At 42.5% G+C, this 18,696-nt stretch overlaps 1 protein-coding gene and 1 long non-coding RNA gene across 12 annotated transcripts in view, besides 2 other annotated features; one reads left to right on the forward strand and one right to left on the reverse strand.

Moving 5' to 3' along the window:
• Positions 1–2,545: 2,545 nt before the first annotated feature.
• RPP40 (ribonuclease P/MRP subunit p40) lies at positions 2,546–18,157 on the reverse strand. Of its 9 annotated transcripts, XR_926031.3 has the most exons (9): positions 18,000–18,157; positions 16,221–16,365; positions 14,683–14,751; positions 13,929–14,024; positions 12,836–12,961; positions 10,342–10,540; positions 10,071–10,205; positions 7,685–7,742; positions 2,546–7,330 (listed from the first exon to the last, which is right to left on the reverse strand). XR_926031.3 is itself a non-coding variant. In XM_011514253.3 (8 exons), exons 1-8 carry the CDS (start codon positions 18,120–18,122, stop codon positions 7,739–7,741), a joined length of 897 nt encoding a protein of 298 aa, XP_011512555.1. In that variant the 5' UTR covers positions 18,123–18,157; the 3' UTR covers positions 2,546–7,738. The 9 variants fall into 9 exon arrangements, 7 of the variants coding, with proteins under 7 accessions (XP_011512555.1, XP_047274052.1, XP_024302077.1 ...); XR_007059200.1 differs by lacking the exon at positions 14,683–14,751; XM_011514253.3 differs by having other exon boundaries at positions 2,546–7,742.
• Positions 17,758–18,007: a silencer, noted in NCBI's record as "silent region_16864". NCBI's record gives its function as "represses an Ori minimal core promoter by ATAC-STARR-seq in GM12878 lymphoblastoid cells {active_cell/tissue: GM12878}" and the evidence as "EXISTENCE:reporter gene assay evidence [ECO:0000049][PMID:35858748]".
• Positions 17,936–18,696, forward strand: part of LYRM4-AS1 (LYRM4 antisense RNA 1) — a 236,681-nt gene continuing 235,920 nt past the window's right edge. For all 3 annotated transcript variants that reach the window (NR_126015.1, NR_126016.1, NR_126017.1), the window contains exon 1: positions 17,936–18,079. This is a non-coding gene — a long non-coding RNA (LYRM4 antisense RNA 1). The remainder of the gene's footprint in view (positions 18,080–18,696) is intronic.
• Positions 18,138–18,267: a silencer, noted in NCBI's record as "silent region_16865". NCBI's record gives its function as "represses an Ori minimal core promoter by ATAC-STARR-seq in GM12878 lymphoblastoid cells {active_cell/tissue: GM12878}" and the evidence as "EXISTENCE:reporter gene assay evidence [ECO:0000049][PMID:35858748]".

An 18,696-nucleotide genomic window follows, 5' to 3' on the forward strand; every position in this document is an offset into this window, starting at 1 on the left:
GCACATAGTGACTTCCTTCCAAAGAGGACAGAATGGAAAGGGGACCAGAGGAGAGTAATTTCACAGTGGAGATGCCTGACAACCACCACCTCGGCCAGCTGATCAAGGTCAACAGCAACAGCCCTAAATCACGTTGAGACTATTTGCTCTTGAAATAAGGTGATGGCAATGGCCTTTTACCTCTGTGGGCTTCCTCCCCAAAACCCAAAGCTCCAATCTAATCTCAAGAAAAAACATCAGACAAATTGCAACAAAGAGGCATTCCACAGTTCCCCTGAGTAGCACCCTGAAGAACTGTAAAGACCACCCAAAACCAGGAGAGCCTGAGACACTCACAGCCAGGAGGACTCAATGGAATGTGGGGTCCTGGAGGGAGCTGGAACAGGAAAAGGACTCAGGGGGAAACTAAGGGTGTCTGAATATAGTCTGGATCCTGGATAATAATAACGTATCAATATTGGTTCATTAACTGTAACAAATGTATCATACCAATGAAAGATGTTAATATTAGGAGAAATTGTGTGTGTGTGTGTGTGTGTGTGTGTGTGTTGGGGGAAGTACATAGGAACTCTCTGTACTGCTTTTTTCCCATAAATCTAAAACTGTTTTTTAAAAAAGTCTTTTTTTTGGGGGGGGGATAGGGTCTTGCTCTGTCACCCAGGCTGAAGTGCAGTGGTGTGATCTCAACTCACTGCAGCCGCTATCTCCCAGGCTCAGGTCATCCTCCCACCTCAGCCTCCTGAGTAGCTGGGACTATAGGCATGCACCACCATGTCCAGCTAATTTGTGTATTTTTTGTAGAAATAGGGTCTTGCCATGTTGGCCAGGCTGATCTTGAACTCCTGAGCTCAAGCAATCCACCTGCCTCAGCCTCCCAAAGTGCTAGGATTATAGGGGTGAGACACCATACCTGGCCTCTAAAAAAGTCTTAATGAAGAAAGTGGGGTGGGGGGGAACCTCTTGGCAGTAAGGATGGGTGTGGCTAAGTGGTTAGTGGAGAGGGGAGGTGGTAGATGCTCCTGGATGGATATCACTGTTCCCTCTGAATGTGACTGCCAGAGATGGGGGCTTAGCTCAGCTTGCCATAACCAAATACTGTAGACTGCATGCCTTAAACAACAGAAGCCGATTTCTCACAGTTCTGGAGGCTGGGAAGTCCCTGGAGCTGGGTGCCAGCATGACTGGGGTCCTGGTGAGGGCTCCCTTCCTGACTTCTCCATGGCTATGTCCTTGCTGTAGCCTCACATGACCAAGAGAGCTGTGGTCTCATCTCCTTCCTGTGAGGACACTAATCCCACTGTGGGGGCTCCACCCTGACGACCTTATCTAAGCCCAGCCACCTCCCAAAGGCCTGCCTGCTAAGACCATCACACTGGGGTTAGGGCCTCAGCATTATGATTTTCAGGGGACAGAAACATTCAGTCCATAACAGATGGGCAAAGAGAGCATCTCGTCCCAGAGAAGATATCCACTTGGCAGGTAATGTGATGCTCAACAAGTCATATACAGAGTAGCTTTGCTAAAAATAGATACAAAATTTTGTGGTCAACATTACTGAAGGAGGTTGCCCCAGCTAGAGCAGGGGGATGGCCAATGGCTGGGGTTGGGGGCATAAAGGAGACATGGGAGGGGAGTCCTGGGGATTGATCCTAGGTTTTTGGAAGCTCACCACGAGTGCCCTCCACATCCTGCTCCACCACAGCCCTCTTCAACCAGTCTAGGCATTCCTCCCCACAGACTGGCCCACAACTCCTTCCCAGCAGAGGCTGGGCGCCAGAACAGGCTGCTGCAGAGCCCAGCCCTGTGCCCCACCTCACTGTCCTTGGGGCCAGCCCCTGGCTGCCTGCCTTTTTCAGAGAGAGACCAGCCTTAGCTTCGGTGCAAAAGGCGGTTCATGCTGCAGCCTTGTGTTCTGAGCACTACCTGCCTTCTTTCTGTTTTGCTTGTTGCTATGCTCCCAGTTGCTTCTCATCCTCAGGAAATCCAGGACTAACTCCATCTACTGAAGACATCCACCCACCCTCATTCCCTTCCACCCCCTGTAGACTTCCTCCAGGCTCAGTGCACAGGGTTGGAATAACCACTGTGATTTTGCATTGATTTTGACCCATTTTCATCAGTGTTCCTGTGCATGGCCATTTATTTATTTGAATATTGTAATAAATCCACAGGAATCATCCATTCTGCAAGGAAGTTTGAGTCAGGACAGCAATTTACATATACCTATATGGGCCTCCCTCCTCCTATCACCTTTTCTCTTTCCTAAAGTTGTGTTTACCTTTTGAAACAATTATACATTCAGAGGAAGTGGCGGATATCATACGGAAAGGTCCTGTGTAACATTTTATACCTCCAGTAGTAACATCTCATATAACTGTAGCACATTGTCAAAACTAGGAAACTGACACTGGTACAATCCACAGACCTGATTCACATTTCCTTAGTTGTAGTGTGTGTGTCAGAGGCGGCGGTGGAGTGTGTTCTATGCAGTTTTATTTCATGTGTAGGTCCATGTACTGACAACCACAGTCAAGATATACAAGAGTTCCATCACCATGATGATCCTTTTTATTGCCCTGTTACAGCCACACTGACCCCTCCCCACCCCCAACATCCCTAATCTCAGGCAACCACTAATCTGGTCTCCATTTCTACAATTTTTTCATTTCAAGGATGTTATATAAATGGAATCATACAATAGTAACTTTTTGGTCTGGGTTTTTTTTCACTCCATATAATTCCCTTGAGATCCTTCCAAGTTATTGGGTGTGTTAATAACTTGCTCCTTTTTATTGTTAAGCAGTATTTCATGGATCACAATTTGCTTAACCATTCACGCACTGAAGGACATTTGTTTTTTTCCTAGGTCTTGCTCATTACACATAAAGCTGCTATGAACATTTGAGTATGGGTTTTTGTGTGAACATAAGTTCATTTCCCAGGATAAATGCCCAAGAGTGAAATTACTGGATCATATGGTAATTTCATGTTTTCTTTTATAAGTAAACTGGGAGGTATTTTTCTGAATGGCTGTGAAATTATACATTACTGCCAGTAATATACGGGAGATAAAGTTTTTCAGCATAGTTGTCAGAATTTGATGTTATCACTATCTTTTACCATTCTAATAGGAGTTAGTGATATCATGATTTTAATTTGCCTTTGTAACCATTCTAATAGGAGTTAGTGATATCATGATTTTAAGTTGCCTTTTTCCTAATGGTTAATGATGTTAGAACATCTTTTCACTCATTTATTTGCAGTTTAAGTGGACTCTTTGGTAAAATGTCTGTTGATGTCTTTCCTTCATTTTCCATTTGGTTTGTTTGTTTTCTTATTGCTGAGTTTTGAAAGTACTTTACATTCTGGACACAAATCCTATATCATTGATCTATTGGTATATCCTTCATGTCAATACCACACTGTCTTGATTACTGTTGCTTTAGAATAACTCCTTAAAAATCTAGTAATATTAGTCGTCTAACTTGGTTCTTCTTTTGTGAAGTTGTTTGGCTACTCTAGGTCCTTTGAAGTTCTACAAACATTTTAGAATCAGTTTGTCATTTTACACACACACACACACACACATAGGCTGCTGGGATTTTGATTGTGATTGTATTAAATCTATATTGAATCTATATTTTGGGAATATGACATGACATCTTCACAATATTGAGTCTTCTGACCCATGAACAAGGTATATCATCTATTTAGGTCTCTTTATCATATCAGTATTTTGTAGTTTTCAGTGTACAGTATTTTTCTCATTTTTTTGGTCAGACTTATCCCAGGTATTTATGCTATTGCAAAGGTAGTATTGTTTATGTGATTGCAAATGTTGATTTTTTGTTTCAATTATCAATTTTTCATTGCTACCATATACAACTGATTTTTGTACACTACTCTGTATCCTGCAACCTTGACAAACTCACTTATTTGTTCTAGTAGCTCATTTGTAGAGTCCGCTGAATTTTGCATAAATAATCATGTCATCTGTGAATACATTTTTCTTTCTTTCTTTCCAACCTGGATGTCCATTATTTCTGTTTGTTCTCTGATTGCACAGTCTAAAGCCTTCAGTACAATGTTGAACAGAGGCGGTAAAAGCAGGCATCCCTGATTTGTTCCTGACGTTGGGAAGGTGGGGAATATTGTCTTTCACAATTAAGTGTGATGTTAGCTGTAGGGTTTTTGTAGATGCCCTTGATCAGATTGAAGAAGTGTTGTTTATTCCTAACCTTCTTGATTATCAGTAATGAATGCTGGATTTTGTCAAATGCCTTTCTGTATTGATTGATTATATGATTATTCTTTTTTAGCTTGTTTATACAATGAATTATATTGATTGATTTTTCAAATGTTAAGTCAACCCTACACTCCTTGGATATTCCCTCTTGATCATGTTTTATTACCTGTTTCTTATCTTGTAGGACTCAATTTGATAAACTGGCTTAGAATTTTACCCTATGTTCATGAGAAATGTTGATCTGTAGTTTTCTTTCCTGGTAGCATGTTTGTTTGGCCAGGGTCCTAGGATAATTTTGGCACTAGGATAATTCTGGCCTCAGATAATGAGGTGGAAAATATTTCTTCCTCTCTCTCTCCTTCTCTCCCTTTCTTTGAGTCAGGGCCTTGATTTGTCAGCCAGGCTGGAGTGCAGTGGTGTGATCATTGCTCACCGCAGCCTTCAATTCCTAGGCTCAAGCAATCATCCTGCCTCAGCCTCTCAAGTAGCTAGGACTACAGGCATGTGCTACCATGCCTGGCTAATTTTTTTTTTTTTTTTTTTGGAATCTCGCTATGTTGTCCAGTCTGTCCTTGAACTCCTGGCTTCAAGTGATCCTCCCACCTCAACTTCCCAACATGCTGGGAATACAGGTGCGAGCCACCACGCCTAGCCCTAGATTTTCGTTACATGTTTTTAAACTGTAATTTCAACTTCTTTAACAGATATAGGGCTATTCAGATCATCTACTTCTTCTTGGGTGAGCTTTGGTAATTTGTGCCTTTCAAAGGATTTGTCAATTTCATCTATGTTGAATTTATTGCTATAAAGGTGTTCCTAATATTTCCTTACTATCCTTTTCTATCTGTAGGCTCTTCAGTGATGCCACCTCTCTCATTCCTAGTATTGGTAACTTGTGTCTTGTTTCTTTTTTCCCTGATATATGTACCTGGCTGGAGATTTCTCAATTTAAAAAAATTTCCCCCCCAAACTCCCCAAATTTTGATTCATTCATTTTTCTCTATTTTAAAAATTTCATTAAGTCCCACTTTGACCTTTATTATTCCTTTTCTTCTGCTTACTTTGAGTTTTTCTCTTTTCTAGTTTCTGCTATTGATTTCTAATTTAATTCCGTTGTGGCCAGACAACATACTTTATGTGACAAATGTTTTGAATTTGAGACTTTTTAAATGGTCTATAATGTAGTCCATCTCTATAAATGTTCCATGTGTACTTGCGAAAAACTCTTAACCCACTTTACTTTTACATATATTATAAATCCCGTACTATGATTTTTGTTTGAACAGCTAAAAATTTTTCTCAAGTTATTTCTCAAGAAACAAAATTGAGTTGTTTCTCCATTTTCTCAAGAAAAATTTTCTGCTATTGTAAGATGCAATGTCCTGTAAATGTCAATCGGGTCAAGTTGATTGATAAAATTGCTGAAGTCTACTTTATTATTCTTATTGATTTTCTGCCTACTTGTTCTGTCAATTATTGAGGGTGGGGTATTAACGTCTGATAATAGTGGGTTGATCTATGTCTCCTTGAAGTTCTAGTTGTTCTTGCTTTATGTGTTTTGAAGCTTTGTTATGAGGTGTGTGTTGTCAGTATGAAATAACTTTCTTTAATCCTGGGTGATACGGTTTGGGTCTGTGTCCCTGCCCAAATCTCATGTCAAATTGTAATCCCCAGTGTTGGAGTTGGGGCCTGGTGGGAGGTGATTGGCTCATGGGGGTGGATTCCCCCATTTAGTGCTCTTCTAGTGATAGAATTCTCACAAGATCTGGTTGTTTAAAAGTGTGTGGTACCTCCCACACCCCTCCCTCCTGCTCTGGCCATGCTTCTCTTTCACCTTCCGCCATGATTGAGTTTTCCTGAGGCCTCCCCAGAAGCCAGGCAGATGCCCACTGTGCTTCCTGCACAGCCTGCAGAAACGTGAGCCAATTAGGCCAGGTGTGGTGGCCCATGCCTGTAATCCCAGCACTTTGGGAGGCTGAGGTGGAGAGATCACGAGGTCAGGAGTTCGAGACCAGCCTGGCCAATAAGGTGAAACCCTGTTTCTACTAAAAAAAGAAAAACAAACAAAAACAAAAAAACGAAACAAAAAAAAACTAGCCAGGCATGGTGGCGCATGCCTGTAATCCCAGCTACTCAAGAGGCTGAGGCAGGAGAATCATTTGAACCCAGGAGGTGGAGGTTGCAGTGAGCCGAGATTGCGCCACTGCAGTCCATCCTGGGCAACAGAGGGAGGCTCTGTCTCAAAAAAAAAAAAAAAAAAAAGAAGAAGAAGAAATGTGAGCCAATTAAACCTCTTTTCTTTATAAGCTACCCAGTCTCAGATATTTCTTTATGGCAGTGCGAGAATTGACTAATATGCTGGGAATTACTTTTTGCTCTATTTTGATTAATATAGCCACTTCAATTTTCATGTAACTAGTGTTAGCATATCTTTTTTCCATCCTTTAAGTATTTGTATCTTTCTATTTAAAGTACATTTCTTGTAGGCAGAATATAATTAGGTCATGTTTTTTTCAATCCAGTCTGAAAATCTATGCCTTTTAATTGGTGGTGTTCACACTATTCACATTTAATGTGATTATTGATATGCTTAGGTTGAGTCTCTCATCTTGCTACTTGTCTTCGATTCATCCTAACTGTTCTTTATTCCCTTTTACCTCTTTTTCTGTCTTCTTTTTGATGAATCAAGTTTTTAAAATAATTCCATTTTATCTTTTGATAGTTTAATAGGTATGATTTTTTGGTATGTCATTTTAGCAGCTGCTTTAGGGTTTACAGCACATATCTGTAACTTATCACACTCTATCTTCAAATGGTAGCACGTCACCTTGTGTATGAGAACTTTACAATAGCATGATTCTCCTCTCCTAATCTTCAAGCTATTGTGGTCATCCATTTTACTCTTACATATATTATAAATCCTACACTATGACTTTTATTTAAATAACTGTCTTTTAAAGAGGTTTAAATAATAAATGCTACATTTACCCATGTTGTTACTATTTCCAGTGCTTATTTCCTTCAGAAGGCAGGCATTTTCCTTCTGCCCAAAGGACATCCTTTAACTTTTCTTGCAGTGCAGACCTGTGGGTGACAGTCTTTCAGCTTTTGCAAATTTGAAAAGATCTTAATTTCTTCATATCCATTATTCTATTTTCAGTGGCGTCTAGTCTGCTGTTAAACCAACCAGTGGAATTTGCAATTTCAATTATATTTTTCATTCCTAGATTTGTTTGGCACTTTTTACAATCTGCTTCGTTGTTCTTATACTCATGCCATTTAACCCTCCTTATTTCTGTAAGCATAAAGCATACTTTATGGATGTGCTTGCTAACTTTAACATCTTAAGTCTTTCTGAGACTTAACGGCCTGCTTCTGCCCCTTGTTTCTGCTGGTTCTTGTCTATTTTACACTTGTGATTTTTTTCTATGAACTTACATTCCTTGAAACTCTCCGAGTTCCTCCAAAGACAATCTGTTTTGCTTCTGCCAGTTACCTGTAAGGCAGTAAAATCCTGTTATCACTTGAAATTTCCCTCTTGAGATTTTTTAAGACTATCCAGGTGGTGCAAACAAGCCACCCTAAAAACTGCTGTTATATATAAATCCTGTGGTTATATATAGGCTCTCAAGTAAGATGTTTTCCCCCAGGACAGAAATCTTCCTTGCTGTTCACAGGGGTTGGGGGGATGGGTGAAGCAGATGGATTTATTCCTAGTTTACCCCTACATTGCATCTATCCTTTTGGAGTCTCACTTTATGAGGTCTCCTGTTAGTTTTCCTCCCTTGGGCAGGCCCTGAGCTTTGTGTGCTGTTCTGCAGCCCCTTCCCACCCCAGGCTATGAGAAGAAAACTTCAATTTGGCATTTGGCAGATGCACTAAGGCGGAAAAGTGGCGTCAGTACTCCACTTACTTCTTTGGGTTTCTGCTTCCATTTACAAAAAAAAAAATTTTTTTTTCCCTTTAAGAACTCTTATTTTGCAGCTCTTGTTTTTTACATTAAAAAAATGGTTCTTCAGACAAAAAACCAAACACCGCATGTTTTCACTCATAGGTGGGAATTGAACAATGAGAACACATGGACACAGGAAGGGGAACATCACACACCGGGGCCTGTTGTGGGGTGGGGGGAGGGGGGAGGGAGAGCATTAGGAGATATACCTAATGTTAAATGATGAGTTAATGGATGCAGCACACCAACATGGCACATGTATACATATGTAACTAACCTGCACGTTGTGCACATGTACCCTAAAACTTAAAGTATAATAAAAAAAAAATGGTTCTTCATATGTATTCTAAAGTTTTAGTTGTTTTCAACTGGTCCTTATCAGCCTTACTGCTGGAAATAAAATTCTTTCAACCTGTTCTGTAACGATTTACAGTATCCATTGATCCCTCTCTGATCCAGAGGCATTAGCGTGAGAACACACTTAGGAACTAGGCTGGCCTGAGATCAAGTCTCAGGTCCACTGCCACTATAACTTCGGTAGTGTATTTACACACTGTGCCTCAGTTTCCTCAAAGGGTTGGTGTGAGATTCTAACATGGTAATATATAAACAGCACTTACAACAGGGACTGGCCCTGGTAAGGATGAGATTTCTTTTTATTATCTGAAAAAGTTGTAATGAACAAAATATATCTCAACCAATGGAGTGAGATGGGGACCAATATCCCCGGTCCCTGGACATCCTGGCCCAGTGTACCACATAGTAACCCACAACCCTGTGCTTATGTTGACAGAGAGAAATCAACTATGAGCTATTCACTGGACAGCAGGCCTTGCTGCCATCACAGATGGGTCTCAGGTGCAGGGCAGGATGCCAGCAAATGCTGATCTGAGAAATGTCACCATCACACAAGCCTGAGTGGACACACAGACCTTTTACCATTAAGAAATCTGAAAGCAAGCGTAAATGTAAGTAAACACGATTTTTAATTTTTATTTTTTATGGTGGACAGTGATCATTTGCCCCAACAGCCATCTGAAGCCAATAGTCCTGATTATTAAAAATCACAAAGTTATATAAATGTTCTCCTCCTTTTCGAAAACCATGTTCATTTTTTTCCCAAGAAACAGGGCTGTCTGCAAAGCCTTGAACGGACAGTGTAACCCATGGAGCTAACTTCGGTTCATCAAAGTAGTGACTGAAAAAAAGGTAGTTGTTAAACAGAGTTTTAAAAGAGAGTTAGGAATGTCTGCATTTTAAAAAATTTATTCAGGATAAGTAGTATTTCTGATATTCTAATAAAGCTTAGATCTTAGCTTTAATTTTTGAAAATCAAGAGGTGTGTGATAAGTTCCTGATGTCACACTGTGAACTCCATAAGGATTAACTAATATACAACACATGAAACAAACCTCAGCTGTTCCCACCCTCATTCTGGGAGGTCTTTAAGACAAAAAGAACCCAAAACAAAAAACCCCACAGGCGTTTAAGGATCCTTTCCCTCCTATTAAGAGTACTGTTCTCAGAGTCTCAGTTAACTGAAACGTTGCAGGATAATTCACCAGATTTTTCATATCCAGCCTTCCTATCGAAGAAAGTCAAAGTACTAAACCAATAAATGTGAAAAAGGATGTTGGGCTTAAAAAGGAAAACCTTCAAGACTTAAATCTGACATTTCAAAAGGGAAGACTGAGAAGATATGCTTACTAAATAGGATTATACTCAATGTACGGTCTTTGCAATAGGCGATTTGAGTTCCTTTCAATGTACATTTTATTTATATACCACCTCCCAAAATGAAAAAATCTATACTATTCGACATACTGTTCTATAGAGCACTGATGAGCGATATAAAAGGTAAAGAGTTCTCACCAGAGATGTTCCAATAGGAGACAGATCTTCTCTGGAAGTATGAAGCCAGTGATTGTACACAAATAAGCTTTTGCCACCACTGTGCTTGGCTCAGGACAGCAATAGGTTGATATGAAATTATTAGGCTCATTATTTCTGTCACCAAAAAAATAAAAGAGAGAGAGATAACACATGTATATCCATCACATGATCACTTCCAAAGTATTAAACTCCTATTAAAAACAAGCAGCAGGCCAGAGCCCTGGAAGACACAGGGAGTTCAGATACCCACAGGTCGACATTACTGAAGACGGCGCCGAGCCAGTCGAAGAGCTCCAGAGCCCGGCAGGACACCTCTGGCGTTCCCTCCAGCTCGCTGCTCTGCAGCACTGGGCACTGGAGATCTCTCAACGTGCTCAGTGCTACTTTTGGCTGATGCTCCTGAATTTGGTACTTGGAAAAATATGACATCATTGTCGATTCTTCTGAACCTTAAAAACACACCACACAAGGCCATTTGAATCCATCTGACCATCGTAAGCAAGTTTAGTGAATACCTGAACCCACCCATTCCCATCTGAGCGGTAAGATTGAGTAAGATGGAAGCTGTGCAGAGCTGCATTCAAATTAAAATCATTTAAAGCTGCTTTCAGCTCCTTTTGCTCAAGTTCTGTAAACGTTCATCGTTTTTCACACTTTTCCTGGAAAAGCACAACAGTTTCTGATCAGACCCAAACTAGTTTCACTGTTTGTGCTAATAAAAAAATTTCAACTTCACACTTAAAACCAAAAGCATTCCTGATGTATGAATAATATTAGTGAACTCCAGAGAGAAGGAGCTTATCTGCACAACCTCTATTAAAGAAAAAGAAGAGAAACTGAATGGTGATTGAACCTCATCCCAGCTTGACTTTGAAAACCCAATAAAATCCAGCGTATCTTTTCAGGGATGTTTGTGTAGCCAACGGCCTTGGAAGACAGAGATAGTACTCCCTCCACGGCAAAGGGCAGGCTTGCTTACTGTCCAGTATAATAGAAATAATGTCACCCTCCCTCTCTCCGGGCAGATATCAGCAGGCTTACTGTCCCTTACAAAGGACTGGAGTTCTTAAACTCCAGGTTCCTCTCCTGTAATGCAACCTACTGCATGTGCCAGCATCGCTTGGTGTCACTCTGGAAATGGGACTTGGTGAACTGGTGCAAATGGTGATATTCGGTGTGATGGTTAATTTTAGGTGTCAACCTGACTGGATGAAGGGTCATCTAGATGGCTGGTAAAGCATTATTTCTAGGTGTGTCTGTGAGGGTGTTTCTGGAGGAGACTGGCAGGTGAGTGGGTAAACTGAGTGGGAAGATCTGCCCTCACTGTGGGTGGCACCATCTACCCGGCTAGGGCCCCAGGTAGAACAAAACGTCAGAGGAACAGTGAATTCGCTGTCCCTTGGAGCTGGGACTCCCTTCTTCCCCTGCCCTTGGACAGCAGAACTCCAGGTTCTCTAGCCTTTGGACTCTGGGGCTTGCACCAGCAGATCCACAGGTTGTCAGGCTTTGGCCTTGGACTGAGAATTATACCATCTTCTTTCCTGATTCTCAGGCCTTCATATTTGGACTGAGCCAGGCTACCAGCATCCCTGGGTCTCCCACTTGCAGACAGCCTGTCGTGGGACTCCTCAGCCTCCATAACTGCATGATCAATTTCCCTAATAAATCTCCTCTCATCCATCCATCCATCCATCCATCCATCCTATTGGTCCTTTCTCTCTGGAGAACCCTGACTAATACATTTTGGCTACTACCATTCCTCTGAGGAATTAAGTCCTGTGTCTCTGACCCAGGGCTTATGTGTCTTCTGCCAGCATCCCTGAGACTGTAGCAGGCTACCTAGTTAGCCTGCAAGTATGAGGAAATCTCAGAACTTTCACAGTCCTGACAAATCCTTAAAATAGTTAGGAGCTTTAGGAATAGGGAGCTATCCAGAATCCAACGTCTGGATGATCTGCATAGAAGACTTCACGCAACTGAAACTTCAATAAGCCTTTCTGCCCTCTTTTCTATCTACCATATATGGAAGGAGAGGCACCGAAGGCCAGACCTAGGACTCATGGGAGCAACTTGGAGCACCCAGTGACGAGACACTTCCCATGAGGAGCAGACAGATGGGGCTATTTCTAAAACAGACCACCATGCTTCCTATCCTCCAAAAGAGAGTACTACACCATAATTCCTGATGACTTGATCCATTATTATCTGGGTCAAAGATACACTTCTAAAAGGAGCAACATACATGGCCGTTTTAGGCAGATTACGCTGTGTGGTGAATAGCAAACTTTGAACTAAATTTAGTGTCCTAATCAATTAAAAGTTAGAATAAATTCATCTGACATTTAATGGTAGGCCTGAGTCAGTACCCTGTGATAATAAATAAGCAGATTGTGTATATAATTGGTGCTACTTAAAAATATTATAGTCAAGGCTGTTCAAGGTAAGCTGGAGAGAGGAAAGGGGAGAAATAGATAAAATTTAGCTGCTCTGAAGCCACTCTCAAGATCTCTGGATCTACATATAACCCAAAGAGACGCAGGCAGAAAGGCCTGCGTGCCTACATGATCCTGAACTATGGTTTTCAGAGATGTCAGAAGGGCTAGTTTCCTTAATAATATTTTTATATATACGTATAGAATATTCCTTGACTAAAGAGTGAATCACCATTCAATCCTCCATTACTCCTCTTTAATTAACAATTACTTTCAAAATCACTGTATCATTACATAATTTATTCCTCATACCTGTTTTATGCCAAGCCAAAAGAAAATCAAATTTCAATGGCTTCTTTTCTTTGAAAGACCAAGATATTCTTTCATACTTCTTAGAATCCAAGTTTAAGGATAATTCCATCAAATCAATGGAAACAACTTTAAAAATGAAAAAAAGAACATATATTTCATTCATATACGTACAGCTTCTACCATGGAAAAAGTGTTACATTTTTAAAAACTAGAATTTTGGGAAATTTTATGGATAGTAAAATTATTTTATTCTTCTTCCACTCCCTTTGGTTTGCCAAATAAATAAGATCCCTTTGGTGGGCACTTCTAACCTTGAGAGCTAATAAAAACAGACATTTTCAATTTATATGTTTCCTAGGTCAAAGACCAAGGGCAGAGGACCTTGAGAGGTCAGGTTTAATCTACTTATGGATGTGGCGGCCTTAGCTATTGATGTTCGAGCCAGACGCTGTCAGCAAAACATCTCTTCACTCATGGGTGAATTTCTACTAGTAATCATAAAGACTTGGGGAAACCAAAGGAAATTCTTTATTAAGAATAAGTTGTAGACTCCTATCTTGGGTTCAGTACTTGGAATTTTTTTTTTTTTTTTTTTTTTTTTTGAGATGGACTCTCACTCTGTCGCCAGGCTGAAGTGCAGTGGTGCGATCTTGGCTCACTGCAAACTCCCCCTCCCGGGTTCAAGCAATTCTCCTGCCTCAGCCTCCTGAGTAGCTGGGACTACAGGCATGCGCCACCACGCCCAGCTAATTTTTGCATTTTTAGCAGAGATGGGGTTTCGCCATGTTGGTCACAATGGTCTCAATCTCTTGACCTCATGATCCGCCCGCCTTGGCCTGCCAAGGTTTAACCCGAAACATATATATTTAATTGACCAGTCCAAGTCTACAATCTTTATTAAATGCATCTACAGCTGAAAAGAAATGAACTTAAAAGCATCATCCTATCCTCTGTGAAGCTCGAGTCAGAAGTTTGACAGATTTTTTTTAAAAGGCCACATTTTTTTGAACAAAGAGATTAGAGGCAATTCAAACATTTAAATTTAAATTGCCACAAGAAGATTAGAAACAGATGGAACACACATGATACTTACTAAATTTCATAATTTTTCTGCCAGAAAACTGAGATGGATGACCCTGAAGTCCAGTTTCTTCATAAGTGTCTTTATCCAGTGACAAAATTAATTTCCCTATAAATCAAATAATAACTCCCATAAGATACCAAAACTAGAACTTACGTTGTCTGACTAAAAGAAAGCAAGGCAAATTGAGCAGTTAGATATCAATGTAACAAACTGCATACAAGGATCTTATTTATATCACAAGAATATTATTTATGTGTATACATGTCTTGTAACAGATATTATTTATACATTATACATCCAAGGATATTATTTATAATAGTGAAATTTAAAATAATCTGAATTTCTACTAAAGATGAAATAAATAAGTCATGGTATACTCATTCTTTTGAATATCTTCTTTTTTTTTTTCAGACAATCTCATTCTGTCTCCCAGGCTGGAGCGCAGTGGCGCAATCTTGGCTCACTGCAACCTCCGCCTCCCAGGTTCAAAGCGATTCTCCTGCCTCAGCCTCCCAAGGAGCTGGGACTACAGGCATGAGCCACCACGCCGGCTAATTTTTGTATTTTTAGTAGAGGCAGGGTTTCACCATGTTGGCCAGGCTGGTCTCGAACTCCTGACCTCAGGTGATACACCTGCTTTGGCCTCCCAAAGTGCAGGGATTACAGGCGTGAGCCACCGTGCCCAGCTGACTTTTTTTTTTTTTTTTTTACAGTATGCATTTTTTTTTAACAATTAAAGAAAGATGAAAAAATAAAGTGTTACCATTTGGTAGCAGGGCAACAGTATTATCTTCATCAATATGTGTATTGTATGTTAGTGCATAGCAAGAACCTGGAAGAGAAAGTACAGAGGAAAAATTTAAAACAAGAAATTACACCTGCAAGATGTTAGTGGATTATTTTTACAAGATAACCAGTCTTCCGGGTCATTAAAGGTCAGTTTCTACCCCTGCTCCAGCTCACTCAATAAACCAAACATCTGCTAAGGGTAAGCTGCAGCATGCAGAAGACCAAGCATGCAGAAGACCAAGCATGCAGAAGACCAAGCATGCAGAAGACCAAGCATGCAGAAGACAAAGCTTGCAGAAGACCAAGCATGCAGAAGACCAAGCATGCAGAAGACCAAGCATGCAGAAGAACAAGCATGCAGAAGACCAAGCATGCAGAAGACCAAGCATGCAGAAGACCAAGCTTGCAGAAGACCAAGCTCCAGCTAGTTCACTCCCTGACCAACAGCCTATTTGTGCAAGTTTACTATCATCAAGCAAAAAACTGACTCAGAACGGAACGTGACCTTTGGGGATGCGCGGAGAGGGGTCCAAAGTAGAATTCTAGATAAACATACACCTCTCAGAGACAGAGTTCCAGGTTAAGATTCAAAAGCTACCCAACCTCTCCAAGCCTCAGTTTCCTCACTGTTAAATGAGGATCATAGGCTTGCTTCATAAAGTTGTTGCAAGGGTTAAATTTGGTAAGACATTTAACAGTGCCTGCTACAGCCATTGTCCACGTAATTCACAGAGTGGTGTCAGGCCTTGAAATAGATGAAAGGAATAACGGTGATGAGACCAGACAAGATGCCCAGCTCATAAGTCGCCCCAGCAGTGTCAGAATGAGAGGAGCTACTGGTAACTAGAGTTCTTCATATCTTCACTGGAGAGGACACACATGGGGGCTACCACAAGATAAGCATGTGGCCACTGTACAGGTGAGTTATGTAGTGTGGGTGGAATCCCTAAAGGCCCTCTGAAATAGTTTCAAACAAATGGCTCCCAGGAATCAACTGAAACAAACCAGTCCAACCCAGCAGATATGGGTGGAAATGGGGTGAGTAGAGGAGGGGTTATGGCTACAAAATCTAAGCAGAAGACACTGGACCCCAACAAGCACTTTGCTCTGTGAACAGTAGCTGTGGCTGTATCGGGAGACCAACCCTCTGAGACAGCTGCTGTGGGACTGCTGACAGCATAGTGTCTTTGCAGCCACATCTTCAACAGCAGTGCATCTGAACACAGACTGCAAGTCTCTCCTCTCCATTAATCCTCATTTTAAGGGGACGGATACTGTCATGTTACAACATCCCCATCCAACACTTGTGGCCAATTGCAATCAGAAACCACCACCTAAAGAGGGTACAAGAAAGAACAGGATGAGAATGCGGGGGAGAACGCGTGTGCACCTGACCACACAGACTATACCACAGGCCCTGTTTGAAACAAAACAACAGCCCTAGCATCGTGATGTGGTCTCCCTACCCTTCCTCATCCAGCCTTGTTCACAGCCATTTCAGGTTTTTCTTACCTTTCTTTATAAAGGTACTGATGAATTCAGGTGTAATTAATTCATGAAGAGGTAAATTCTTCACAAAGTAATAGGGTCCAGTGTTCATGACCAGGTTTTTCAGTTCTTCCGATAGTATCCCACATTCAGGAATGAGAAATGAAACCTATTGGAATGTGTAATACAAACAAGGTCTTACTTCCATGAAGATGAACACCCAGGTTTTTAGGAATGAAACAAAATCATGAAAGTTGTTATTTCTCCACGAGTTTCACTGGAACATAAAAACACGGGCAACAAAACTCTTATGTTAACTTACCTATCTCAGGCAAAGAGAAATCTGACTACTTAAGTTTTTCATTTCTGCATTCAAACGTACAGTACAGGAAGGGGATTGAACAGAATACTTTTAATGGAAAACTCGTGCTTGCATTTAATCTTTTGCAAATTAGCAATGCTGTATATTTTATGTCCTGTTCCTTTCACTATTTTATTTTCAAGGAAATATAGTATAATTGAATATCCCTTGATTTGTTTACCCTGGTGTTATCCTGGAATGAAACAAACTATCTGTCGGGGCATAAGGAATTAATTTATGGACATCCAATTACTAAGAATCTATGTGCAAGCAATGGTGCTCCTGTATGTTTTCATTTTCGAGACAGAAAAATGCAACAGGCGAGTTAAAGTATACATCCCTGACTGCTGTGATGAGCTTGACATCCAAAATAGGTGTTAAAAACAGGGCAGGCTTCAAATGTTGCCACATTGTAAAAGTCATCACTGTCCCAAGGCTCAAACACCAGCCTGTTCTGACTGATCAGGTCACCACTTAACATCTCTGAAACACTGCTCAGTCAAACCTGAGTTATTAAGCTGATCCATTTAAAGTGTAAAATGTTTAATCCCCCATGATAAGGTTAGTTTCTTGAAGTCTCTCAGATATCAAATTAGTTCCAACAACCAATTTAGAAAATCAGTCGCTTCGGCCGGGCGCGGTGGCTCACGCCTGTAATCCCAGCACTTTGGGAGGCCGAGACGGGCGGATCACGAGGTCAGGAGATCGAGACCATCCTGGCTAACACGGTGAAACCTCGTCTCTACTAAAAATACAAAAATTAGCCGGGCGTGGTGGCGCGCGCCTGTAGACCCAGCTACACGGGAGGCTGAGGCAGGAGAATGGCGTGAACCCGGGAGGCGGAGCCTGCAGTGAGCCGAGATCGCGCCACTGCACTCCAGCCTGGGCGACAGAGCGAAACTCCGTCTAAAAAAAAAAAAAAAAAAAAAAGGAAAATCAGTCGCTTCCTGGGCCGAGCCTAGGCAGGATGCTCTGGTGAGATCCACAGGTACGCAGGTGGGAGAGGGATTCAAGCTGGGGAGGAGGCAGTGGTGGGGAGGAGGCGCGAGACCCGCCCTGATTTGGGGAAAAAGCGAGGTGCACGTGGCTGCCCCACAGCCTAACTCCCTGGTCCCGGCCCTGAACCTCGAATCCCTCCCTGGACTCACTCCCAGTTCGGCGGGTTGACACGAGTGAGCAGCCAGAACGCCCCTGACAACAGCTCCCTCCAGACTGGGTACCGCCCCCACGCCCGGCGCATCCTGGGAGTTGTAGTCCTGTAGCCCTGCAAGCCACTGGCTTAGAGCAGTTAAGAGACTACAACTCCCAGCAAGCCGGGCGAGGGCCCCGCCCCTCCGCGTACCGCCGGCGGCCCCGCCCCGCGAAGCCTAGCACTCTCCCCAAACCTCTCTCGCACGCGGGGACTGAGCACGGCCCGAAAAGCCGAGGACAGCCGGACTCACCCTGTAGTTATAGTAGTGCGTCTGCACAAGATGCCGGTGGCGCGACTTGTGGTTGCCGAAGTTGGATTTCTCGCAAACCAGTAAGTGCCGCGGCGCCTCCCGAAGCCGGCGCAGCGTGGCCATGCTCTCCTGGGTTCCTGGTCCTCCCGGCCTCCGCTGGCGGGGCACGCCCCGCCCCTTCCTCCCGCCCCGCCCCTTCCCTCCGGCCGCATACCCGCTGCTGTGCGCCCCTGGCGGCGGTGGAGTGGGGATGGCGGCGCTGGATTTCTGAGCAGTTCTTAGACTTCTTAGGAGCCCACGCAGCCGCTCTTTGGTGGATGTCTGAAGCTGTAAATTCACTGTCCCAGTGGCTGGGAACCTGGCTCTTGCCTTTTCAACGCCACTTTTCCTCCGTCCCCGCCATCCCTTGGAATTGCCCTAAACCCTCTCTGTGGGCCCCGCCTCGGAGCGCCCCTTGGACCCCAGCCTGGCGCCGGCGCATACCTCGGTCAGGCCCCTCAGAGGGACCGCTTCCTGCCACCGTTATAAAAGGAAAACATCGCATGGAAAGGCCCAGTTCCTTTAGTATATGGTCAAGAAATGTAGCCGCACAGTTAAGTAACCCCCTAAGCTGCTTTGGGGGCCACACCCAGCTGCTTTCTGACTTCTCACACTGTTTGGTTCACAGGACTCTGTTACCCATTGGGGACCTCTTGGC

The sequence above is a fragment of the Homo sapiens genome, chromosome 6 (assembly GCF_000001405.40).
Source record: "Homo sapiens chromosome 6, GRCh38.p14 Primary Assembly".
Classification (NCBI taxonomy): domain Eukaryota; kingdom Metazoa; phylum Chordata; class Mammalia; order Primates; family Hominidae; genus Homo; species Homo sapiens.

Bases quoted from the DNA above. Each gene is read 5' to 3' on its own strand.
- RPP40 (NM_006638.4), bottom strand. From the start codon at position 18,122: ATGGCCACGCTGCGCCGGCTTCGGGAGGCGCCGCGGCACTTACTGGTT. The intron at 10,541-12,835 runs GTATGAGGAATA...TGTGTTTTTAAG, and splicing joins TTTGGCTTGGCATAAAACAG to GTTCAGAAGAATCGACAATG. The intron at 10,206-10,341 runs GTGGGTATCTGA...TTTTGGTGACAG, and splicing joins GTCTTCAGTAATGTCGACCT to AAATAATGAGCCTAATAATT.